This window comes from Homo sapiens, chromosome 5 (genome assembly GCF_000001405.40).
Source record: "Homo sapiens chromosome 5, GRCh38.p14 Primary Assembly".
Lineage (NCBI taxonomy): Eukaryota > Metazoa > Chordata > Mammalia > Primates > Hominidae > Homo > Homo sapiens.
In genome coordinates, this window is record NC_000005.10 from 91,737,062 (window position 1) to 91,763,288 (window position 26,227).

General features: G+C 36.0%; 4 annotated features.

Moving 5' to 3' along the window:
• Positions 4,010-6,021: an enhancer, noted in NCBI's record as "VISTA enhancer hs191". NCBI's record gives its function as "enhancer in: hindbrain (rhombencephalon)[6/9]" and the evidence as "EXISTENCE:transgenic organism evidence [ECO:0001131][PMID:17130149]".
• Positions 7,434-8,341: an enhancer, noted in NCBI's record as "OCT4-NANOG-H3K27ac hESC enhancer chr5:91040312-91041219 (GRCh37/hg19 assembly coordinates)". NCBI's record gives its function as "activates a minimal SCP1, AML or CMV promoter by ChIP-STARR-seq in naive and primed H9 embryonic stem cells {active_cell/tissue: H9 hESC(naive and primed)}" and the evidence as "EXISTENCE:reporter gene assay evidence [ECO:0000049][PMID:30033119]".
• Positions 25,001-25,510: an enhancer, noted in NCBI's record as "H3K4me1 hESC enhancer chr5:91057879-91058388 (GRCh37/hg19 assembly coordinates)". NCBI's record gives its function as "activates a minimal SCP1, AML or CMV promoter by ChIP-STARR-seq in primed H9 embryonic stem cells {active_cell/tissue: H9 hESC(primed)}" and the evidence as "EXISTENCE:reporter gene assay evidence [ECO:0000049][PMID:30033119]".
• Positions 25,511-26,019: an enhancer, noted in NCBI's record as "H3K4me1 hESC enhancer chr5:91058389-91058897 (GRCh37/hg19 assembly coordinates)". NCBI's record gives its function as "activates a minimal SCP1, AML or CMV promoter by ChIP-STARR-seq in primed H9 embryonic stem cells {active_cell/tissue: H9 hESC(primed)}" and the evidence as "EXISTENCE:reporter gene assay evidence [ECO:0000049][PMID:30033119]".

The following is a 26,227-nucleotide window of genomic DNA, read 5'->3' on the forward strand; positions in this document are numbered from 1 at the left end:
TCAAAAGGGAAATTTTGTTTTATTTAATTTTCAAACAGAATCTCATGTATGTTGACTGTGAGCCAGAAATTATTTTAAGCATTGTATTATTCCTTAAGGAACTCATAGAGTAGATGAGGATACAGATAAATACATATCAGTTGCAATGTCCATGGTATTTCTGATATATGAAGAAAAAGAAATCTTAGTATCATCTCCCAAGAAACTCGTGATGTAGTATGGGGAAGAGCATATGCAAACAGTAAACTGTAACAAACAATGCTATAGGGTAAATTATAAACACTAATATATGGTGCTTGCAATACTATAGGAAACCAGAGAAAGAAGATATCATTTTCAATTGAGGATTTCACAATTAGTAAAACTGGATATGCAGGTAGCAAATGGCAGAGTATTCAGAACTAGAGCAAATGTATATTAAAAGCCTCAGTGATGTGGGAAACCTAGAAAAAATATTTAAGAGACAGTGTTTTTAGCTGACTGGAGAATGAAACAATTGGTAATTCACATGGAAAGTTGGGGGTGTTGGCCGGGTGCAGTGGCTCATGCCTGTAATCTCAGCACTTTGGGAGGCCGAGGTGGGCGGAGCACGAGGTCAGGAGATCTAGACTATCCTGGCTAACATGGTGAAACCCCGTCTCTACTAAAAATACAAAAAATTAGCCGGGTGTGGTGGTGGGCCCCTGTAGTCCCAGCTATTTGGGAGGCTGAGGCAGGAGAATGGCATGAACCCGGGAGGCGGAGCTTGCAGTGAGCTGAGATCGCGCCACGGCACTCTAGCCTGCGTGACAGAGTAAGAGTCCATCTAAAAAAAAAAAGAAAAAGAAAAAAAGAAAAAAAGAAAGTTGGGAGTGTTTCTGAGATGGGAAGTTGCAGGATGATCATGGTATTAAAAAAAGAAATCCAGTAGTGTGTATATATACATAGAAATATAGAGAAACTGCCTAGAGGCAGGATGTTTTCTTTGAAGGCTATTTTAGTGACATTAAGGGATAACAATATGAAATAGGACAGGAGTAAGTGAGACAAATACAGAAAATTGACAGTGGAATTATTATTATGCTACAGTTTATGTGATTCTCTGGCTAACTCAATATGAAAGAGAAATAGTAGAAATTATATTCCAAAGTCATGTTCAATATTACCAAGTTTAGTGTGTTATAGAATGGCAGTTATAAAGCTATGGCTGGGGTTAACTTCACACTCTTTAAAATTTCCACAATTACCACTTATACTTCTAGGTTTAGGTGGTCATCATCTAAACAGAAGCCATTTCTCTGAGTAGGAACCCATAGCATAGATAGGTCTAGGCAAAAGTGCTAGAATAAATGTGACATCATTTGGACAATAGAAAAAGATAGTTCACATATGAAGAATTATATAGTTTGTTTACATCACAATTTAAGGAATTATATTATCAAAAAATAAGTAAGAAGGATATTAGTGTTTCTTTGATAGTGGGAGTGTAATTATTATACCAATCTATAATTAAAAGTTAATGAACTATTAACAAATTATGAAATATTTATGTGGTTCTTAGAAGTCTGTCTCTGTAAAATATTTTTAGCCCTATTTTGCAATATTTATTTTTCTTTTATTGTATAACATGGTAATCATATACTTATTATTAAAGAGTTGTTTCATTTTAAAGCATGAAAGAGTTAAACCCTTAAAAACACTCTAGGTTGAATTTTCATAGTGATATTCTGATCGCAAAAGAGTACTTTCTAACAAAACTTGAGAAATTCCTCTTGGGGTCTTTTTACACCCAAAGCAAAATTATTTTTCTCATTTGAATTTTTTTCCAATCTTTTTTTAACTCTTGAAAAACTTAGCTAATGACTTTAATTTAAAAATGGTGATTTCCTATTGGTTTTTAATGACAATGTCAGTTTTAGAATAGTTCCTGGTTTCTTGAAAGAAGACAAAGGTTAATGAATCCTGTAAGAGCCAAGTAAATGAGTTTTGCTAATTTTTTAACGAGAGAGTCTCTGAACTGTAGAATATATGTATATATATATATATAAAACGTATGTGTGTATATATAATATGCATATATATGTGCACACCCACTGTGTTTGTGTTGCGTGTGTGTTTTGTGTGTGTGTGTGTGTGTGCACGCATGTGTTCTTGAAAGGCCACATGTATCTGGAGCTATTCCATATAGGGAAGCAAGTAAAGCTTTGTGGGATGTGTATATAAACTCACTTTATATTTATGTGACTCATGCATGCATACTTTTATTTCAATGTGTGATTATTTGAATTTCAATTCACACATTGAAGACTTTCTCTTTTAAATACATGAAATAAAATCCAGTGCCAGGAAGAATCTACTTCTACAATCTTAACATTTGCAATTTCAAATACCTTCCAAAATATTGTAATCAGATATTAATTACCCTGGGTAAATTTTTTTTTGTCTTTGGATCAGGTTATCAACTCATATTAAAACTATTGCACCGCTACATAATACAGAATGTGCTGTTTGTAAAGAATTGCAGTCTTTATTTTCTGTTTGGGTTTAACTCTGAGTTAGCTCTGATTAGATTAGGAACATAAATTAACTTCTGCCCTTAACCCAGTTTCCACTAAGCAGGTTCACAGGTGAGGGAGCATTAGAAGTACCCTGGCCCTAGACATAGAGTAAGAATGCAGTGGAGGAGAAATGGACAAGAGGAAGGTAATTTTTTTCTCAAGCCAACTAGATTCTGGGTGTATTGTGAGAACCAGGGTGAGGAAGATTATTTGATAATGACAGACGGGTTCACTTGCAGAGAATAAAACATTTACTGTGCATAGACTCAATCATGGACAATTGTGAATTTCTAGGATGTGGCCACCTTGTTCTAAGCCCTTGGGAGACCACAGTGAGCAAAACCAACAAAGTAGAGCTTAAGTTTTATTGAAGGGTCAAATTTAAACAGGTGTTTTACATCTGATAGAGAAAGGACAAATCACCTTTGTCACTTACCGACTATGATGTGACTAATACTGATGTGAAGTTGGTACTCTGTGTCCAATTTATAAATGAAAAAGAACCCAGGAAATTTAAGTAAATTGCCAAAATCATGTAATTGTAAGTGATAGATTTAACACATCAGTCAGTTTCAAAAAAGCTGGTATCCTTTTTACCATAGCACACATGCATTGAGAGGTTCATGGAAGATTGTGAACAGATGTAGTTTAGCAAAATCTGGAAACATGGACTTTAGAGAGGCAATCTTGTGACCCTGAATTTTGCCATTTAATAGACCTGTGACCTTAGACTGGTTACTTAAAGCCGGAAGCCTTAGTGGGGTAATTATATATGTCTCATCAGATTATTGGGTAATTATATATCTGTCTCATCAGATTATTGTGAGGATTAGGATAATAAATAGAAAACATTTAGCATAGTGACTGGAACATAATAAGTGTTAAAACATTATCTCTTATTATCATCATCATTATTATTTATGATATTTTATTATTCTTTCCTGATAAGGAAAGCTATTTGCCCTTTTAAAATCTGTACCTAGAATGAAGGATTATGGCTTAAAATGGTAAGAAAATATATATATGGATTTAAAGATATAAAATTTAGGAGACACAGGTATATAAAAACTATACTATTGGTTTCAATCTTATTTTAAAATTGAACTGAATTGTCTCCAGATACATGGATCATTTTGGTGTTTCCCAACATTACACATTTAAATTAGATGTATATTTTCACTACTGAATTTTTATATGAAAAAAGTACACTTAATGATGGAATTATTAGAAACACAGGACATTTAACTGAAAACACAAATGAGTTATTTATTATATTTGCATAAATATATTTGCGCCATATACATTCCTTTTATCTAAGTTCTAAATAGTGCTGCATTGCAATTGCATATTAACTTTACAGTTATACACAAACTATGCAATTAATTGCTTACTTGAAATTAGGAATTATAAACTTTCCTGCATATATAGTAGCTTCTAAAGAATGTAATGTACTTGCAGTAATATCCACTATATTGTGTGTTGCTTTTCTGCTGTTAAGCAAAGGGATAGAGTGGGGAAATAATTTCACACTGCATATAATGCATCTGATATGAAGGAAACTTGAAAATTATTTAGTTACAGATTTCTCTGACCAGGCTTGCAAAGTGGCATATATTATGTTAATGGGCAAGCATTTGAAAATGAATTTGAATATTAAATGCACTAAGTTTGGGTTCTGACACGAAGGAAGGCATAGCTGGTATACAATTTACAAACAGGTTCTTGTTAACTCTTTCATTACTGTTGCTCACAATCATGCTTTGTGCTTCAAAATTGAAGAGTCATATTTTTCACTGAAAATTTATAACAATGAAAACGATTATGGTATGCAAGTGAAGTTCTGTTATAATATTAGATTGTAAACCATATTCTCTGTTCAGTTGTGTTCTATGGAAAGTAGTTGCTTATTCATTGAAAGTTTATAAGTAGAAAAGAAATGAGCAACATCAATCACTGTATTAATGGTATACTATATTTTGCAGCTTTCATTTGTAAAGTAACACATTTGAGTTGGCATATATTGGAAGTATACTACCAAGCCACCATTATACATTCAACCCAAATATCTTGTTCTCAGGTCCAAGCAGAGACCACAAATGTACTATTAGTGGACTCATAGTGTTTAAATTTACAGAAAATGAATAGTTAATAGTAAGTCTTCCCACCAAAGCATATTTTTATTGAAAGAGCAAAGCATTATAGTATACCGGATGTTTTAGGTCATTTATTTTGTTTTTGCTCTGGGTCATTTTACAAAAGCACTTCTGCTCTCTAGCGTTAAAATGAGAGCCACTCTACTCCCCAGATATTACCCAGCAGCACTTGGGGGCTCTTAATGATTAATACCATCACCGTCCAGCCACAAACCTTTCTGCCGCAGATAATGCCAGGCAGCAAGCGCGCTTGACACTTTTAATGTATAATTAAGTAGGAAAAGTCAGCACTCAGTATGCAAATTTTTCAAAATGATAAATGATGCCATACAGCAGTAGGGATTGATTTGGTGTAAATGAAACTAATTAAGGAAATGTCAAACATAATTAATAAAACAGGTTTAAGCTGCAAAACATTGTCAATTGAATGAATGAGGAGGCATTGGCTCCCATTGTTTCTGCTTTATTTAGGGCTTGTGTTTAGCTTGTACTCTGTTCCTAAATGCACTTTCGCTACCTCACACCCTCCACTACCAATTCCCAGAGAGGGGGAAAATAAATTTGCTTGTCTCTCCACTGACTGCAGAAATTAATTGCAGAAATCTTGTCCCATCCAAGTGTTACATTCACTCACAGGACATTAACATAACTAATTTGAAAGAGCCCAAATGACTGCATAATAGAGCACTGTCAGTATGCCTGACAGTCTTTGGTCATACCAAATTAGCTTGGTTTTCTAATTGAAATTTTTTTTCCTTAGACTCTTTTTATAATTTTTTCCTCAGCTATTCATTTTTTATAAGAACAAAGGTTTTATGATTTACAAAAGAGTGCTTGACCTATAATTACTAGGAGGAAATTAGGGGAGGTAGAAAAGTCAGATTTAGTCCTGGTAATGATGCTAGAGACCTTGCTCCCTCTAGGGAGCCTGAAGAATAATGGAATCTTCTATTTTTACGGGCGACCTGTGCACTGGTGCTGACTCTAACTGTGAATCCACTTTACTTTGCAGATCACTTGCTTAACACTAAAAGTGCCAGCAGAATGGCAGGCCATTACTCCAAATGTCATTCAAATCAGTGCCATTTCCACATGCCCTTCCTTCTCAAAGAGTGAATTGAAGAGCACTGCCAGTCCTCTTATCACGCCTTTGTAAATCTTCCATGTAGAGTTCTATGCAACTTAATTGATGAACCATTTGGGTAAATAAGGGTGAGAGGAGGGTAAGGAGTTTGTTGAGAGTAAGAAATTTAAAGAATGATAAATTGATTCATTTGGAAAAGAATCCAATAGGCCCTGATTTTACAATCATGTCACCTGCATGCTATGGATGTAATCTTATCCTACTTGCTATGGTTTTCTAAGTAAGGAGTCCAGTAATATATATCCTCAGTTTAGAGATCTTTTCTCAAAAGCACTTGTTTTCTTTTGAGTGTGTCATGAAATAACACATAAGAATGGAAAAGTCAGTTTTTTATACCTTATGAGTTATATACTTAATGTGGCATTTCAGATTAACCAGGGAATTGGATGGAACTGAAAGCATAGAATCATGAGAAAGCAAGTGGGAGATATACACATGCTTCTTAATTCATGTGGTTTCTGTGGAATAGATGGATGGAGGTATAAGAGCAAGGGCATGGTTTTGTTTGCCTAAAGTCTTGCTTCTACAAATCCTCGATTTGTATGGCTTCTTTTTAATTTAGTTCAGAAATAGAAGTTTATTTATTTACTTATAACCTATGTGAGACTGTGAAGACTCCTGACTTTGAGCTAAGTCATTTGGGGCTCATTTGTAGATGCTGTCCAGCATATTCTCTCTAGTTACTGAATAATGCACATATAGTTACCTATCACTTCTACAGCATTGGTTGATTGCATTGTTCTTTATTGGTACCCTTGTTATGGGTTGTCTTGTAATATCTCATGTGTTGTGTGCAACTCAAAATAAAGATGAGGTTGTTTGAGGTTGTTATACTCCACCTTTAAATGGAATGGATATGGAATAAATCAACTATTCAAAATAAATTATTACTTCATCTTTTGTCTAAATATGGACACAACTACCTCAGGTTTATTTTACACAATATGTTAACATCGATAATTGAAAGAACATTCCCTGATGTAGATTGTATATAACCTAACTTCAGTACCCCCAAAAATTATAAAATGAGAATAAACAAATTTGTCATCTGATAAAACTGAAAAGTCTGGGGTCAGTTTTCCAGAAGGATGATGATCTTAAGACATAGCCAAATAAACTGGCTTTAAAAATCTCATCAAGGCTGGGCGAGGTGGCTCACGCCTGTTATCCCAGTGCTTTGGGAGGCCGAGGCGGGCAGACCACGAGGTCAGGAGATCGAGACCATCCTGGCTAACACGGTGAAACTCCGTCTCTACTAAAAAATACAAAAAATTAGCTGGGTGCCTGTAGTCCCAGCTACTCGGGAGGCTGAGGCAGAAAAATGGCATGAACCCAGGAGGCGGAGCTTGCAGTGAGCCGAGATCGCGCCACTGCACTCCAGCCTGGGCGACAGAGCGAGACTCCGTCTCAAAAAAAAAAATAAAAGGAAAAAAAAAATCTCATCAAGACCAGGTATTTCTTTCTTTCTCATTCATTTCATCCCTTGGCTCTGCTTTCCACTGTGTTGATTTCATTTCTAGACTCCATCCTGTGGACCCAAATAACTCCATGATTAAGATTTTATCAATCCTATAATAATAGTTCAGTGGAATGAGATGTAGTTGTTGTCAGGCCTCTGAGCCCAAGCTAAGCCATCTCATCCCCTGTGACCTGCACGTATACGCCCAGATGGCCTGAAGTAACTGAAAAATCACAAAAGAAGTGAAAATGGCCTGTTCCTTGCCTTAACTGATGACATTCCACCACAAAAGAAGTGAAAATGGCTGGTCCTTGCCTTAACTGATGACATTGTCTTGTGAAATTCCTTCTTGTGGCTCATCCTGGCTCAAAAGCTCCCCTACTGAGCACCTTGTGACCCCCACTCCTGCCCGCCAGAGAACAACCCCCCTTTGACTGTAATTTTCCTTTACCTACCCAAATCCTATAAAACGGCCCTACCCTTATCTCCCTTCGCTGACTCTCTTTTCAGACTCAGCCCGCCTGCCCCCAGGTGAAATAAACAGCCTTGTTGCTCACACAAAGCCTGTTTGGTGGTCTCTTCACATGGATGTGAGTGAAAGTTGTTTTTCAGGCCCTTAAAAAATGTCCTAGGATTGGCCTTGGTTGAACCACCAAAAGTGATATACTCATCCTAGAATCCTGTCTAGCCCTGATTGATCCTGCCCCATGCAAAATCAAATGAACTGAGCATGAGAGGAATTCTCTAAGGAAATTCACTGTGTTTTTATCGAAGTAAAGGAAAACTGGGAAAACATTGGCAAAAACAATAAATATATACTCCAAGAGTATACCCTACAATCTCTAATGCAAGAACACACAGCAGTCGCCCCTTCCCCATACTTTCGCTTTCTGCAGTTTCCGTTACCTGAGGTACTATACTACTGTTCTGTAAGGTATTTTGAAAGAGAAAGAAAAAGACCATATTCACATAACTTTTATTACAGTATATTGTTATAATGGTTCTATTTCATTATTAGTTATTGCTGTTAATGTCGTACTATGCCTAATTTACAAGCTAAACTTAATCATAGGTATGTATGTATAGAAAGAAACAGTATATATAGGTTTCAGGACTATCTGTGGTTTCATTCCACTGTGAGTTTTGGAATGCATTTCATGTGGATAAGAGGGGACTACTGTATATACAATACGAAATTCTTAGTCACTGTGGGATGCTACTAACTTAATTAAAATGGAAAAATTTTTTTTTCATCTAAGGATTGTGTTTTACTTATAATTAATTCCTTTGATGGAGAATATAAGCAAAGATAATGTTATTTTTTTGCTTGTTAATGTTTTATTATTTATAACTTAGAAAAGGAAATGTGGTTTCTTAGTCTTTTATTTTGAAATAATTTTAGATTTACACATTTACAAACATGGTATAAAGAATTGATGTATACTCTTCATAAATCTTCCCCAATTGTTAACAACATACATAACCATGGTGTATTTCTTAAAACTAAGAAATTAACATTAGTACAATAATATTAATTAAGCTAGAGATTTTATTTGGTTTCTGCCAGTTTTTCTACTGATTTTTTATTCCCTGATTTAATGCAAGATGCCACATCACATGTAGTCTTCCTATCTCTGTAGTCCCCCCCGAATCTATGACACTTCCTCAATCTTTCCTTGTCTTCAATGATCTTGACATTTTATGAGTAATGATCAGTATTTTGTAGCCATTTGGGTTTGTGTGATGATTTCCTCATGACTAGTTTGAGGTTATGCATTACTGGAAAGAATCCCACAGAGGTGGTAGGCCCTTTTCACTGCACCGTATGGGGTACCTAATATCATATGCCTTATTACTGGTGATGTTAACCATAAGCACTTGGTGAAAGTGCTGCTGGCCAGGTTTCTCTACTGTAAAATTGTTATTATTTTTTAACCTTTTCATATTCTATTTAAAAGTGAGTCATGAAATCCAGCCCACACTTGAGAGAACTGAATTTCACCTCCTTCAGAGAGGAGTATAAATATTTTTGAAAATATATATTAAGACCACTATAGTAACTTATAAATATTCTGAAAAGAATCTAGAAGTTGTGAAACAATCCTGTTTCTCCTTAAAGTTTCATCCAATACAAATTAGAGCATTCATTAGTGGACATTGCCTAAAGCAGTTATTACTGTGGTGTTCTAATGGTGATCTTAAATTTTCCTTTATTAATTCTTCTGAACCTCTATTAATTCTGAAAAATGGTTTATTTATTTATTTATTTAAACATTTATTTATACCAAAGTTGTGATGCCTCCAACTTTGTTCTTTTTGCTTAAGATCGTCTTGGCTATACCAGCTCTTTTTTGGTTCCATATGAAATTTAAAGTAGTTTTTCTTCTAATTCTCTGAAGGAAGTCTTTGGTAGCTTGATGGGAATAGTATTGAATCTATAAATTACTTTGGGCAGTATGGCCATTTTCACGATATTGATCCTTCCTATCCATGAGCATGGAATGTTTTTCCATTTGTTTGTGTCCTCTCTTATTTTGTTGAGCAGTGGTTTGTAGTTCTCCTTGAAGAGGTTCACATCCCTTGTAAGTTGTATTCCTAGGTATTTTATTCTCTCTGTAGCAATTGTGAATGGGTGTTTGCTCATGTTTTGGCTTGCTGTTTGTCTATTATTGATGTATATGAATGCTTGTAATTTTTGCACATTGATTTTGTATCCTGAGACTTTGCTGAAGTTGCTTATCAGCTTAAGGAGTTTTTGGCCTGAGACAATGGGGTTTTCTAAATATACAGTCATGTCATCTTCAAACAGAGATAATTTGACTTCCTGTCTTCCTATTTGAATACCTTTATTTCTTTCTCTAGCCTGATTGCCTTGGCCAGAACTTCCAATACTGTTTTGAATAGGAGTGGTGAGAGTGGGCATGCTTGTATTGTGCCAGTTTTCAAAGGGAATGCTTCCAGCTTTTGCCCCTTCAGTATGATATTGGCTGTAGGTTTGTCATAAACAGCTTTTATTATTTTGAAATATCTTCCATCAATACCTAGTTTATTTAGTGTTTTTAGCATAAAGTGGTGTTGAATTTTACTGTAGGCCTTTTCTGCATCTACTGAGATAATCATGTGGTTTTTGTCATTGGTTCTGTTTATGTGATGGATTATGTTTATTGATTTGTATATTTTGAAACAGCCTTGGATCCCAGGGATAAAGCTGAATTGGTCTTGGTGGATAAGCTCTTTAATGTGCTGCTGGGTTCAGTTTGCCAGTATTTTATTAAGGATTTTCGCGTTGATGTTCATCAGGGATATTGGCCTGAAATTTTCTTTTTTTGTTGTGTCTCTGCCAGGTTTTGGTATCAGGATGATGCTGACCTCATAAAATGAATTAGTGAGGAGTCTATTGTTTTAGAATAGTTTCAGAAGGAATGGTACCAGCTCCTCTTTATACTTCTGGTAGAATTTCTCTGTGAATCTGACTGGTCCTGGGCTTTTTTTCGTTGGTAGGCTATTAATTACTGCCTCAATTTCAGAAATTGTTGTTGGTCTATTCAGAGATTCAATGTCTTCCTGGTTTAGTCTTGGGAGAGTGTTATGTGTCCAGGAATTTATCCATTTCTTCTAGATTTTCTAATTTATTTGTGTAGAGGTGTTTATAGTATTCTGTGATAGTAGTTTGTATTTCTCCGGAATCAGTGGTGATCTCCTCTTTATCTTTTTTTATTGTGTCTATTTGATTCTTCTCTCTTTTCTTCTTTATTAGTCTGGCTAGCAGTCTATCTATTTTGTTAATCATTTCAAAAAAACAGTTCCTGGATTCATTGATTTTTTGAAGGGTTTTTCATGTCTCTATCTCCTTCGGTTCTGCTCTGATCTTAGTTATTTCTTATCTTCTGCTAGCTTTTGAATTTGTTTGCTGTTGCTTCTCTAGTTCTTTTAATTATGATGTTAGGGTGTCAATTTTAGATCTTTCCTGCTTTCTCCTGTTGGCATTTAGTGCTATAAATTTCTCTCTAAACACTGCTTTAGCTGTGTCCCAGAGAGTCTGGTACGTTATGTCTTTGTTGTCATTGGTTTCAAAGAATATATTTATTTCTGCCTTAATTTTGTTATTTACCCAGTAGTCATTCAGGAGCAGGTTGTTCAGTTTTCATGCGTTGTGTGGTTTTGAGTGAGTTTCTTAATCCTGAGTTCTAATTTGATTGCTCTGTGGTCTGAGAGACTGTTTGTTATGATTTCCATTCTTCTGCATTTGCTGAGAAGAGTTTTACTTCCAATTATGTGGTCGGTTTTATTATAAGTGCTATGTGGTGCTGAGAAGAATATGTATTCTACTGATTTGGGGTGAAGAGTTCTGTAGATGTCTATTAGGTGTGCTTGATCCAGAGCTGAGTTCAAGTCTTGAATATCTTTGTTAACTTTCTGTCTTGTTGATACATCCAACATTGACAGTGAGGTGTTAAAGTCTCCCACTGTTATTGTGTGGGAGTCTAAGTCTCTTTGTAAGTCTCTAAGAACTTGCTTTATGAATCTGGGTGCTCCTGTACTGGATGGATAGATGTTTAGGAGAGTTAGTTGTTCTTGTTACATTGATCCTTTTATCATTATTTAGTGCCCTTTGTCTTTTTTGATCCATGTTGGTTTAAAGTCTGTTTTATAAGAGACCAGGATTGCAACCCCTGCTTTATTTGCTTTTCATTTGCTTGGTAAATCTTCCTCCATCCCTTTATTTTAAGCCTATGTGTGTCTTTGCACGTGAGATGGGTCTCCTAATAACAGCACACTGATGGGTCTTGACTCTTTATCCAATTTGCCAGTCAGCCAGTCAGTGCCTTTTAATTGGGACATTTAGCCCCTTTACATTTAAAGTTAATATTGTTATGTGTGAATTTGATCCTGTCATTATGACACTAGCTGGTTATTTTGCCCAATAGTTGATGCAGTTTCTTCATAGTGTTGACGGTCTTTACATTTTGGTTTGTTTTTGCAGTGGCTGGTACCAGTTTTTCCTTTCCATATTTAGTGCTTCCTTCAGGAGCTCTTGTAAGGCAGACCTGGTAGTGACAGAATCTCTCAGCATTTGCTTCTCTGTAAAGGATTTTATTTCTCCTTCACTTATGAAGCTTAGTTTGCCTGGATATGAAATTCTGGGTTGAAAATTCTTTTTTTTAAGAATGTTGAATATCGGCCCCCACTCTCTTCTGGTGTGTAGGGTTTCTGCAGACAGATTCACTGTTAGTCTAATGGGCTTCCCTTTGTGGGTAACCTGACCTTTCTCTCTGGCTGCCCTTAACATTTTTTTCCTTCATTTCTACCTTGGTGAATCTGACGATTATGTGTCTTGGGATTGCTCTTCTCAACGAGTATCTTTGTGGTGTTCTTTGTATTTTCTGAATTTGAATGTTAGCCTGTCTTGCTAGGTTGGGGAAGTTCTCCTGGATAATATCCTGAAGAGTGTTTTTCAACTTGGTTCCATTCTCTCCGTCACTTTCAGGTACACCAATCAAATGTAGGTTTGTTCTTCTCACATTGTTCCATATTTCTTAGAGGCTTTGTTTCTTCCTTTTCCTTCTTCTTTCTCTAATCTTGTCTTCTCATTTTATTTTGTTAAGTTGATCTTTAATCTCTGATACCCTTTCTTCCACTTGATCGATTCAGCTATTGATATTTGTGTATGCTTCACGAAATTCTCGTGCTGTGTTTTTCAGCTCCATCAAGTCATTTATGTTCTTCTCCAAACTGGTTATGTTAGTTACAAATTCCTCTAAATTTTATTAAGATTCTTAGCTTCCTTGCATTGGGTTATAACATGCTCCTTTACCTCAGAGGAGTTTGTTATTACCCATCTTCTGAAGCCTACTTCTGTCAATTCTTCAAACTCATTCTCCGTCCAGTTTTGTTCTCTTGCTGGTGAGGAGTTGTGATCCTTTAGAGGAGAAGAGGCGTTCTGGTTTTTGGAATTTTCAGCCTTTTTGGGCTGGTTTTTCCTCATCTTTGTGGATTTATCTACCTTTGGTCTTTGTTGTTGGTGACCTTCAGATGGAGTCTTTGCATGGTCGTCCTTTATCTTGATGTTGATGGTATTGCCTTCTGTTTGTTAGTTTTCCTTCTAACAGGCCCCTCATCTGCAAGTCTGTTGGAGTTTGCTGGAGGTCCACTCCAGACCCTATTTGTCTGGGTATCACCAACGGAGGCTGCAGAACAGCAAAGATTGCTGCCTGTTCCTTCCTCTGGAAGCTTTGCTCCAGAGAGGCTTGCACCAGATGCCAGCCAGAGCTCTCCTGTATGAGGTGTTTGTCGACTTCTGCTGGATGGAGTCTCCCAGTCAGGAAGCACGGGGGTCAGGGAAACACTTGAGGAGGCAGTCTGTCCCTTAGCAGAGCTTGAGCACTGTGCTGGGAGAATGGCTGCTCTCTTCAGGGCCAGCAGGCAGGAATGTTTAAGTCTGCTGAAGCTGCACCCACAGCTGCCCCTTCCTCCAAGTGCTCTGTCCCGGGGAGATGGGAGTTTTATCTATAAGACCCTGACTGGGCCTGCTGCCTTTCTTTCAGAGATGTCCTAGCTGGAGAGTGGGAATCTAAAGAAGAGTTTGGCTACAGCAGCTTTGCAGTGCTGTGGTGGGCTCCACCCAGTTTGAACTTCCCAGAGGCTTTGTTTACATCGTGAGGGGAACACTGCCTACTCAAGCCTCAGTAATGGCAGAAGCCCCTCCCCCCACCAAGCTTGAGTGTCCCAGGTTGACTTCAGACTGCTCTGCTGGCAGCAAGAATTTCAAGCCAGTGGATCTTAGCTTGCTGGGCTCTATGGGGGTGCGATCCACTGAGCAAGACCACGTGGCTCCCTGGCTTCAGCCCCCTTTCCAGGGGAGTTGATGGTTCTGTCTCACTGGCATTCCAGGCGCCACTGGGGTACAAAAAAACCACTTGCTGCTAGCTCCAAACGGCCTCTCAGTTTTGTGTTTAAAACCCAGGGCCCTGGTGGTATAGGCACTGGAGGGAATCTCCTGGTCTGCGGGTTGCAAAGACCATGGGAAAAGCATAGTATCTGGGCTACAATCCACCATCCCTTGTGGCACAGTCCCTCACAGCTTCCCTTGGCTAGGGGAGGGAGTTTCCCGACCCCTTGCACTTCCTGGGTGAGGTGATGCCCCACCCTGCTTCGGCTCATCCTCTGTGGGCTGCACCCACTGTCTAACCAGTCCCAACAAGATGAACTGGGTACCTCAGTTGGAAATGCAGAAATCACCCGTCTTCTGCATTGGTCTCACTTGGAGCTGCAGACTGGAGCTGTTCCTATTCAGCTATGTTGCCTGGGAATCATAGTAAATCTTAAAATTAAGTAATGTTATTCCTCCAAATGGATTTTCCAAATGGATAAGGAAAATCCATTTGGAGGGATAACATTACTTAAGATTTACTATAATGCTATAGTAATCACGACACTGTGACATCATCAGAGATACACACATTGACCAATGTAACAGAAAAGATAGCATTGTAATATATCTGTATAAGCATGGCCATTTGATTTTTGAAAAATATGAGAGAGGAATTAATGAAAAAATATCTTTTCAACAAAATTTTTAGAACAATTTATGATTTATATGCCACTCAAATCAGTCTCAGCCTAAGAGTTACACCATATATAAAATTCACTCAGAGTGGATCAAGTATCTAAATGTAAAATATATAGCTATAAAACTTTTGAAAGAAGATGTTAGAGAAAATCTTTGTGGCCTGGTGTTAGATAAAGAATTCCTTTTTAAAATTATTTTAATTTTTAATTTTTGTGGGTACACAGTAGGTGCATATATTTATGGAGTATATGTGAAGTTTTGATACAGGCATAAAATGTGAGATAAGCACATCATGAAGTGTGGGGTGTACATTCCCTTAAGCACTTATCCACTGAGTTGCAAACAATCCAACTACACATTTTAAGTTATTTAAAAGTGTACAGTTATTATTGACTATAGTCACCCTATTGTGCTATCAAATAGTGGGTTTTACTCATTCTTTCTAACTGTTTCTTTTATACCCATTAACCATCCCCACCTCCACCCCTCTCCCAGTGCCCCACTATGTTTCCAAGCCTCCCATAACCATCCTTCTATACTCTATGTCCATGAGTTCAATTGTTTTGATTTTTAGATCCCACAAATAAGTGAGAACATGTGATGTTTTTCTCTCCATGCCTGGCTTATTTCACTTAACATAATGATCTTTAGTTCCATCCATGTTGTTGCAAATGACTGGATCTCATTCTTTTTTAGGGCTGAATAATGTTCCATTGCATATATCTACCAACTTTTCTTTTTCCATTCATCTGGTGATGTACACTTAGGTTGCTTCCAAATTTTGCCTATTGTGAACAGTGTTGCAGCAAACATAGAAGCGCAGATATCTCTTTGATATACTGATTTTTTTTCTTTTGGTATATACCCAGCAGTGGGATCCCTGGATCATATGGTAGCTCTAGTTTTAGTTTTTTCAGCAACCTCCAAACTGTTCTCCACAGTGCTTGTAATAATTTACATTCCCACCAATAGTATACAAGGGTTCCCTTCTCTCCACATTCTTACCAGTATTTGCTATTGCCTGTCTTTTGAATACAAGGCATTTTAACTGAATTGAGGTGATATCTCATTGTAGTGTTGCTTTGCATTTCTCTGACGATCAATGATGTTGAGTACCTTTTTCATATTCTGGGTTGCCATTTGTATGTCTTCTGAGAAATGTCTATTCAAGCCTTTTGCCCATGTTTTGATGGAATTATTAGATTTTTTTCCCATAGAGTTGTTTTAGCTCCCTATGTATACTGGGTATTAATAGCTTGTCAGAGGGCTAGCTTTCAAATATTTTCTCCCATTCTTTGGGATGTCTCCTCACTTTGTTGATTGTATTATTTGCTGTGCAGAAGCTCTTTGACTTGATGTGGTCCCATTTGTCCATTTTTGCTTTGGTTGGCTGTGCTTGTGGGGTATTGCCCAATAATTTTTTTGCTTAGATCAATGTCCTGGAGATTTTCCCCAATGTTTTCTTGTAGTAGTTTCATGGTTTGAGGTATTTGATTTAAATTTTTTAATCCATTTTAATTTGATTTGCACATATGGCAAGAGATAGGTGTCTAATAGATGAAGAATTCTTAAACACAACATCGAAAGTATGATCCATAAAAGAAAAAAAAGGGTAAACTGGACTTTACCAAAATTTAAAGACAACTTTTGCTCTGTGAAATACACTGTTAAGTGGATAAAGACAAGCTATGTATTGAGTAAAATTACTTGTAAATTATATATCCAACAAATGATATTTATCAAGACTATATAAAGAACTCTCAAAACTCAACAATCAGAAAACAAACAATGCATATAATAATTGGTCAGATGGTTGAACTAACACTTGCAAAAAGAGATACAGTTACGGCAAAAAAGCACATGGAAATAAATTCGACCTCATCAGCTGTCAGAGAAATGCAAACTAATGTAATGATAAGATATCACTACACATCTATAAGATTGCTAAAGAAAAAATACTGACTATATTCAGGACCAGCAAGAATGCAATGTGAAGATCATTCATTGCTAGAGGGAATATAAAATGGTATTGCCAGTCGGAAAATGTTTTAGTAATTTTTTTACAAAGTTAAACATATTTTTCCACCGACACAGCCATTCAACTCCTGGGTATGTAGCCGAAAGAACTGCAAACCTATATTTACACAAGTATCTGTAAAAAAAATGTTTATAGCAACTGTGTTAATACTTGCAAAAACAAAACAATAAGACAACTGAAAAGAATCCAAATGTCCTTCAGTGGGTAAATAAACAAACTGTTTATATCCAGACAATAGGATTAATGCCAACAAAATAGAACAAACGGATGATATTTGGAACAACTTGGATGAATATCAAATGTATTGGGCTGAGGGAAAGAAACCTGTTTGAGAAGGTTACATACTGTATGGTTCTATTTGTAGGGTATTCTAGAAAAAAATTTAAAAAATTTTACTTTTAGAGAATAGATCAATGGTTACCAGAGATAAGGGTCAAGGGAGGAAGTGACTATAAAAGGATAGTAAAAAGAAGTTCTTTATTGTGAGGGATCTGCTCTGTATCATGGTTGTGGTGATGGTTATACAAATCCATAAATATGCTAAAATGTATTGAATTGTACATCAATTTAAAAAGTCAATATTATTATGTAATAATTTGAAAAATAAAAAATAAAATCAGTATGGACTTGAATATCTAATTATTTGCTAAAACTCAATACTATTATTATTTTTTTGCTCAAATTGTTTTAGCTTTAACTATTGGGATCTCTTTTAGATTGGCTTCTGTGTAAATATGGTTTTTATTGGTGGTGTTCTATAAAAATGTCATCAATAAGATTTTAACTTTAACTGAAAGGTCAAGAAAGGAGAATAAACTATATAATTATTCATTGGAAAATAATTAAATTATTTTAATCATTCAGTCCTACTGGAGATGGCATCTGGTTGGTTTCCGATTAGCTTGTAATAGGTTACTTTCTATGACATTCTTTCTTGCCAATTTGTGAGCTTCTGCTTTGTAACAATTAATTTATATTTTCCATTTCAAGCTAATATATATGTTGATTTGTACAGTTTTCTACTTTAGCCTTACAGGATTGCCCTTTAAGTGATTTTTCCCTACTTACTACTCTAGATAGTTAGATACTTGTTTGAGACCCAAAGAAATATATTACAGACAACTACTTAACATTATTTGATTAACTTAAAAAGCAGAAAATGTCTTTCTGCTAGGAATTCATACAATGTTTTAAAGCATAACTAAGGACTACACAATTTATGTGGTCAGCATTAATTTGGGTAATGAAATCACTATTTCTTTTACTTAGTAAGCAGAATACTAAATGATGTACCTACTAAACGATTATGGTACAAAGTAATATTTATAAGTAAAACAGAACATATTTGACAAAATGTTATTTGAGATAATATTTATAGAAGAATAATAAAACCTCTGTGTGCTCCTGGGATATTATCCTCTTGAAAATAATGTCAACAATTCTAGGTATGATCAAAATATATTTCAGACTTGCAAATAGATTTTCATTGCCTTTCTTTAAGAATATAAGTTAATTAGTGTTTAATACCTATTGGTTTTGTAGAAAAAAAAAGAAAAACATTCACGGGTATGTGTGAGAGAAAGTGTGTGTTTGTGTGTGTGTGTGTGTTTTGAGAACATGCAGGTCCCTTCTGTGATGAACTTGTATGGCTTAGCTGCTATATCTTTTGGACATTTAGAAACATTGTTATTTGTGAGAGAACATGGTAGGATTGCTACAGACTATGGGCAAAACAAACATAAATAGTTTAATTGATGTTAACAATGATAACAGATTGACTCTAAGACCACAGAAAAATATAGGGGCAGAGATTCAATTTTTCCATACAATTATGAACATGTTTTAAGATCTTCATGCTTTGATTATTTTTTAGAAACAATGGGAGTAACAGCCGTAACGTAAGAGCAGTAGTAATAACAACTGTAACAAATATTAACTGAGTCACTTCTTACCCTTCCTCTCCTCTCTAGCATTACCATCTTGATTCAAAGAGAGATTGTTAATTGCAGTGTAAAACTTTATTTCCCCAATGATCTGGCATGAATAAAAATCTACAATACCAAATTTTTGGTCTCTCTTCAACCCAATCTTCCCAACTCTAAAATAATGCCCAAGAAATTTTGTCTGTTACTGTCTTAGGAAAATACTATGAACGTGGCATAGCTCTTACCAGAGATTTCAAAATCCTCTTGGAGTAATTTTGTTAGAGGCTGTGATAAATGAAAGAAGACTAGAAATAGATGAGAGACCAACATATAAATGTTGTTTCCTAAGAATCTCAGGACTATCCCATAGTGAAGACCTTCCAGAGCAGCTGCAGTCTGGACTGTGCAAGGGTGAACTGTCCAACCTGGATGCCCCAGGAGTCGCTCTCGAAGTGGCCCATTTTCTTTAGAGACCATTATTCAATTTACTTTTCACCTGTGTGTTGTGGGTCTACATGGACTTGCCCATAAGGGCAGTTCCTGGTGATTTTTCAAAGGCACAAAGAGTTAAGAGACACCATCCAGACTGACACCAACACTAACGAGATGTCAGATATAAAGGAATAAAAACTTTATATAGTAAGACTGTAAAAAAGAAAAAAGCCATTATGTATTTTTCAAATTGGAGAGCGGCAACAAAATCCTTTTTTTTTTTTCAAACATCATCAACAAGCACCTCTTGAAGAATTAATGCCTACGAATCAGGGATAATGCACAGTGGGTACAAATACTCTAGCAGACACTCCAGCCACTATACAAACACTGACTTTCAGGAATTAATTGGGCAAGCAGTTTCTGGTCTTTTTGATTTCCAGAGATTGGAGCACATCAACTGATTTCCCAAACTCACTGAGTCAAATGAGATACTAGAATGAATAAAATACGCTGTCTGACCTCAAGTAAACTGACAAAATATTATAGCAGGACTAAAATTTAATGATAACTATAAATGCAAACACTAAAAATGTTACATAAGAGTAAAAATGAACTTTGTTGAGATTTAGCACATATTCTTTCATAAAAGACACATACCAACCTTGTGAGGGAAATGGCAGTATTCCATTTAGCAAATGAGAGAACGGAGGTGCAAAAATCCTCAGTTCAGACTCACACTGCAAATACGTAGCAGACTTAGGATTTCAATATGTTTTTTTGTCCCCTCAGCTCTTAAACCTATGTATTTCCATTAAACCTACTAGAAATAAATATATACATATTTGAAAGTGGAAAAGGGAACAGACACTTCCTACATGGTTGCAGGTAGAATCAAGAAAGGTTTTGCATTTTAAAATGCTTCAGGACCAGGGGTGGTGGCTCACACCTGTAATCCCAGCACTTTGGAAGCCCAAGGCGGGTGGATCACTTGAGGTCAGGAATTCGAGACCAGCCTGGCCAATATGGCGAAACCCTGTCTCTACTAAAAATTCAAAAATTAGCCAGCCGTGGTGGCATGTTCCTGTAGTCCCAGATACCCTGAAGGCTAAGACAGGAGAATCCCTTGAACCCAGGAGGCAGAAGTTGCAGTGAGCCGAGATTGCGCTACTGCACTCCAGCCTGGGTGACAGAGCAAGACTCCGTCTCTAAAATAAAATAAAAATAAAAATAAAATAAAATAAAATAAAATAAAATAAAATAAAATAAAATAAAATAAAAATGTTTCAAAGTTTGAATAAATTTAAGACAATGACAAGATGAGGAGCACTTTAGTTGCAGGGCTCAGAGGGCATGCTCACATATTTTACAGTGATCCAAAATATTTTTCTTTCTATATTATGAAACATTTAGAGAATGAATCAATAATTAAATATCTGTACAAATAAGAAACAAATAATTTACCATATAAAGAATGAGCTACTTCAAATAATTTCATAAGCAGGAAATGAATTACAATAAAATAAAATCATAAATGAAATGCCTTATTCCACGAGCATTCTTTTGTTTATTGTCAATAAGAGTGAAGAAAATAGTATTCTGCCTCCAAAGAGTTCACTGTGTGTGTTTATTACTGGCAATTGCAGAGTCAATTGAAAATATTCCTGGTGGTTATATTTATCCTCTCATAATTTTACACAAAATATGATGCAACTATTTTTCTTTTTTTTTTCTTTTTTACTGTTAAAGACACTTAACATGAGATTACCTTAGTACCAAATTTTAAAGTGCACAGTACAATATTGTTAACTAGAGGCACAGGGTTGTACAGCAGATCTCCAGAACATATTCATCTTGCATAACAAAAACTTTATACTCATTAACCAACAACTTTCCATTTTTCCTTTCCCCCAGCTCTTGGCAACTACCATTGTGCTCTTTGTTTCTATGGATTTGACTATTGTAAATACCTCAAATGAGTGGAATCTAGCAGTATTAATCTTTCTATAACAGGGATTATTTAACTTAGAATAATGTCCTTCAGGCTCATTTATATTGTCACAGATGACAGAATTTCCTTCTTTTTAAAGGCTAAATTATACTTTCTTGTACATATATACCACATTTTGTTTATCCATTCATCTGTGGATGGACATTTAGGTTGTTTCTAATCTTGGCTATTTTGAATAATGGTGCAGTGAACACAAGATCTTCAAGATCCTGATTTTAATACTTTTGGATGTATACCCAGAGGTAAGATTGCTGGATCACATGGCAATTCCATTTTTATTTTTTGAGGAGCAATCATACTGTTTTCTATAGTAGCTGCACCAGTTGCCTTTCCTACAAGAGTGCATGAAGCTTCCAATTTCTCCGCATTCTTGCCAAAACTCGTTATCTTTTTTGTTGTTGTTTTTTGATAATCTCCATTCTTACAGGTATTAGGTGCTATTATATGGTAGTTTCAATTTGCATTTCCCTGACGACTAGTGATGTTGAGCATTTTTTCACATACTTGTTGCCATTTTTATGTCTTCTTTAGAGAAATATCTATTCAAGTCCTTCGCCCAGTTTGTAATTAGATTATTTGTTTTTTGGCTGTTGAGTTGTACCTTGCATATTTTGAATATTAACCCCTCATCAGATATATGACTTTCAAATATTTTCTCTCATTCTGTATGCTGCCTTTTTACTCTGTTGATTGTTTTATTTGCTGTGCAGCAGCTTTTAGTTTGATATAGTCTCCTTTTTTTTTTTCCTTTTCTTTTAACTTTTATTTCAAGTGTAGGGGTACATGTGCAGGTTTGTTACATAGGTAAACTTGTGTCATGGTTGTTTGTTGCACAGATTATTTCATCACCACCCTCTACCCTCCAATAAGCCCCACTGTGTGTTGTTCTCCTCTATGTGTCCATGTGTTCTTATCATTTAGCTTTTCTGTTGCCTGTGCTTTTGGTGTCATACCCAAGAAATCACTGCCAGGCATGATGTCGTGAAGGTTTTCTCGTATGTTTTCTTCTGGGAGTTTTATAGTTTCACTTTTTACATTGTTGTTAAGCTGTTTTGAGACCTTTTTCCTTTTTGTATAGTATAAGGGCCATATTTCTTTCTTTTGCATATGGATATCCAGTTTCCACAACAATATATGTGAAATTTCCCCATTGTGTGTTTTCTTCCCCATTGTGTATTCTTGGCATTCTTGTCAAAGATCAGTTGACTGTATACATATAGATTTATTTCAGGGCTGTCAATTCTGTCTTATATGTCTGTTTTGTCTTTTTATATCAGAACCACACTGTTTTAATTAGCATAGCTTTGCAATATATTATTAAATCATTAACTGTTATATCTCCTGTTATGTGTTTTTTTCTCAAGATTGATTTGGTTATTTAGCCTCTCTGGTTCTATAAAAATGTTAAGATTTTTTTCTATTTCTGCAAAAAATGTCATTGGGAATTTGATAGGGATTGCATTGAATCAGTTGATTGCTTTGGGTAGTATGGACATTGAAACATTATTACGTCTTCCAACTGATGAACAAGATATCTTTCCATGTATTTGCATCAATTTAAATTTCTTGCATCATTGATTTGTAGTTTTTAATATACAAGTCTTTCACCTTCTTGGTTGAGTGTACTCCTAAGAATTTTATTTTTTTAATGCTATTATAAATATGTTATTTTTCTTAATTACTTTTTGGATAGTTCATTGTTAGTACATATAAATGCTACTGATGTTTGTGTGTTGATTTTTTGTTTTGCAACTTTCCTGTATTGGTTTATTAGTGCTAACTTTTTTTGTATGTGTGGTGTCTTTGGGATTTCCAATATTTAAGATCATGCTGTATGCAAACAAGGTAATTTTACTTCTTCCTTTCTGATTTGAAATGACTTTAATTGCCTAACTGCTCTTGCTAAAACTTCCAGTACAATGTGAATAGAAGTGGTGAGAGTGGGCATACTTGCCTTATTTTTGAGCTAGAGGAATATCTTTCAATTTTTCACTATTGAGAATGATATTAGCTATGGGCTTCTCATATGACCTTTATTGTGTTGAGGTAAATTCCTGCTATATATAGTTTGTTGAGAATTTTCATTATGAAATTGTGTTAAATTTTGTCAAATGTCCTTTCTGCATTCATCAAAATGATCACGTTATTTTCATCTTTCAGTCACATTAATTGATTAGCATATGTTTAACCATCTTTGCATCCCAGATGTAAGTCCCACTTGATCAGGCTGTATGATTTTTTTAATGTGCTATTGGATTTAGTTTTATAGTATTTTGTTGAGGATCTGTGCATCTCTATTCATCTGGGATATTGGCCCATAGTTTTCTTTTCTTACAGTGTCTTTGACTTTGGTATCAGGACAATGCTGGCTTCATAAAACAACTTTGAAAGTTTCTCTCCGATTTTTTGAAAGGGCTTAAGGATTGGTGTTTGTTTTTCTTTAAATGTTTCATAGAATTTACCAATGAAGGCATCTGGTTCTGGGATTTTCTTTGTTAGGAGGTTTATATTTACTTTTTCAGTCTTACTCATTATTGGCCTGTTCAAGTTTTCCATTTCTTCATGATGTAGTTTTGGTAGGTTGTATGTTTCCAGGAATTTATCCATTTCTTCTAGGTTAACCCATTTGTTGGTATATGATATTTTATAATAGTCCCTTATGATGTGTTTTATTTCTGTTGCATCAGTTATAATGTCTCCTCTTTAATTTCTGATTTTATTATCAATTTTGTTGATTTTTTAAAAATTCCAACTGTTAGTTTCACTGATTCTTAAATTGTTTTTGCTTTGTTTAATTTTGTTTTAATCTTTATTATTTCCTTTCTTCTGCTAACTTTGAGCTTAGTTCTCAAAATGAACTTTGTTCATTTTTTTTTAGTTCCTTGAGGTATACTTAGGTTGTTCATTTGAGATATTTCTTCTTTCTGAATGTAGATGTTTCTCACTATAAATTTCCATGTTAATGCTGGTTTTGCATATATTTCAAATTAAGAGGTAAGAGATGGAAATAACATTTTCCATAATTGTTCCAAATATACTTATGTAATAATTGTGTCTTAATGTTTTTCCTCAGAAAGTTTACATTATCATATAATAAGAGTTGGTATGTAATTATTATTTTAGTTCTTTCCCTTCTGTTCCACTCACTGTTTAAAACGTTGCACAAATTGTGTAGTGTTTTATGTTTTTATTCTAAATAATATGTTCTGCAGTCTGAGAGGAGCAGGTCTCTTTTTATTCAGTAATAGTGCATATGTTCTTCTAAATAAACATTTTTCAAGTTTATTTTAAATCAAGTATTATTAAGTTCAAGTTTGGATTTAAAGACTTAGATTAGAATGGTTTATATAAGCTTCTTAGAACTGGACATATACACCGTGATTCATGCATAGACGTTGCTATTGAATGTAATACTGGCTTTCTGTTTAGCAAGGAAAAACTATTTTATTTCATCTAATAAAATGCATTTACTAGAATTCGGTTCTAAGTTTTAGCAATGACTTTTAGACATGTAGTAAATTATTATCCATTATTTTCTTATTTAACCTGTTACCTTAATATTATGTTAAAAGAGTCTCTGATATTAATATTGATCTTTGGATTTCTAAAGGGGAGAAAAAATTAGTACTCGTTCATAATGTAATATTCTTTTAATAGAGTACTGAATTCAAATTCCTAGTACTTTATATAATTGCCAGTTATCTTTCTCAGTGAGATGAGTAAGAAGTTTGTTTTGTCAAAATAATGGACAAGAATGTGTTGATGTAAGGTGAGAAACTAGACTCAACAAGTAATGATTTTAGGGGAGAGGAGCCAAGATGGCCGAATAGGAACAGCTCCGGTCTACAGCTCCCAGCATGAGCGACACAGAAGATGGGTGATTTCTGCATTTCCATCTGAGGTACCGGGTTCATCTCACTAGGGAGTGCCAGACAGTGGGCGCAGGTCAGTGGGTGCATGCACCGTGCACAAGCCGAAGCAGGGCGAGGCATTGCCTCACTCGGGAAGCACAAGGGGTCAGGGAGTTCCCTTTTCTAGTCAAAGAAAGGGGTGACAGATGGCACCTGGAAAATTGGGTCACTCCCACCTGAACACTGCGCTTTTCCGATGGGCTTAAAAAACGGCGCACCAGGAGATTATATCTCCCACCTGGCTTGGAGGGACTTACGCCCATGGAGTCTCGCTGATTGCTAGCACAGCAGCCTGAGATCAAACTGCAAGGCGGCAGCGAGGCTGGGGGAGGGGCGCCCGCCATTGCCCAGGCTTGCTTAGGTAAACAAAGCAGCCGGAAAGCTCGAACTGGGTGGAGCCCACCACAGCTCAAGGAGGCCTGCCTGCCTCTGTAGGCTCCACCTCTGGGGGGCAGGGCACAGACAAACAAAAAGACAGCAGTAACTTCTGCAGACTTAAATGTCCCTGTCTGACAGCTTTGAAGAGAGCAGTGGTTCTCCCAGCACGCAGATGGAGATCTGAGAACGGGCAGACTGCCTCCTCAAGTGGGTCCCTGACCCCTGACCCCCGAGCAGCCTAACTGGGAGGCACCCCCCAGCAGGGGCACACTGACACCTCACATGGCCGGGTACTCCAACAGACCTGCAGCTGAGGGTCCTGTCTGTTAGAAGGAAAACTAACAAACAAAAAGGACATCCACACCAAAAACCCATCTGTACATCACCATCATCAAAGACCAAAAGTAGATAAAACCACAAAGATGGGGAAAAAACAGAGCAGAAAAACTGGAAACTCTAAAAAGCAGAGCACCTCTCCTCCTCCAAAGGAAGGCAGTTCCTCACCAGCAACGGAACAAAGCTGGATGGAGAATGACTTTGACGAGCTGAGAGAAGAAGGCTTCAGACGATCAAATTACTCCGAGCTATGGGAGGACATTCAAACCAAAGGCAAAGAAGTTGAAAACTTTGAAAAAAATTTAGAAGAATGTATAACTAGAATAACCAATA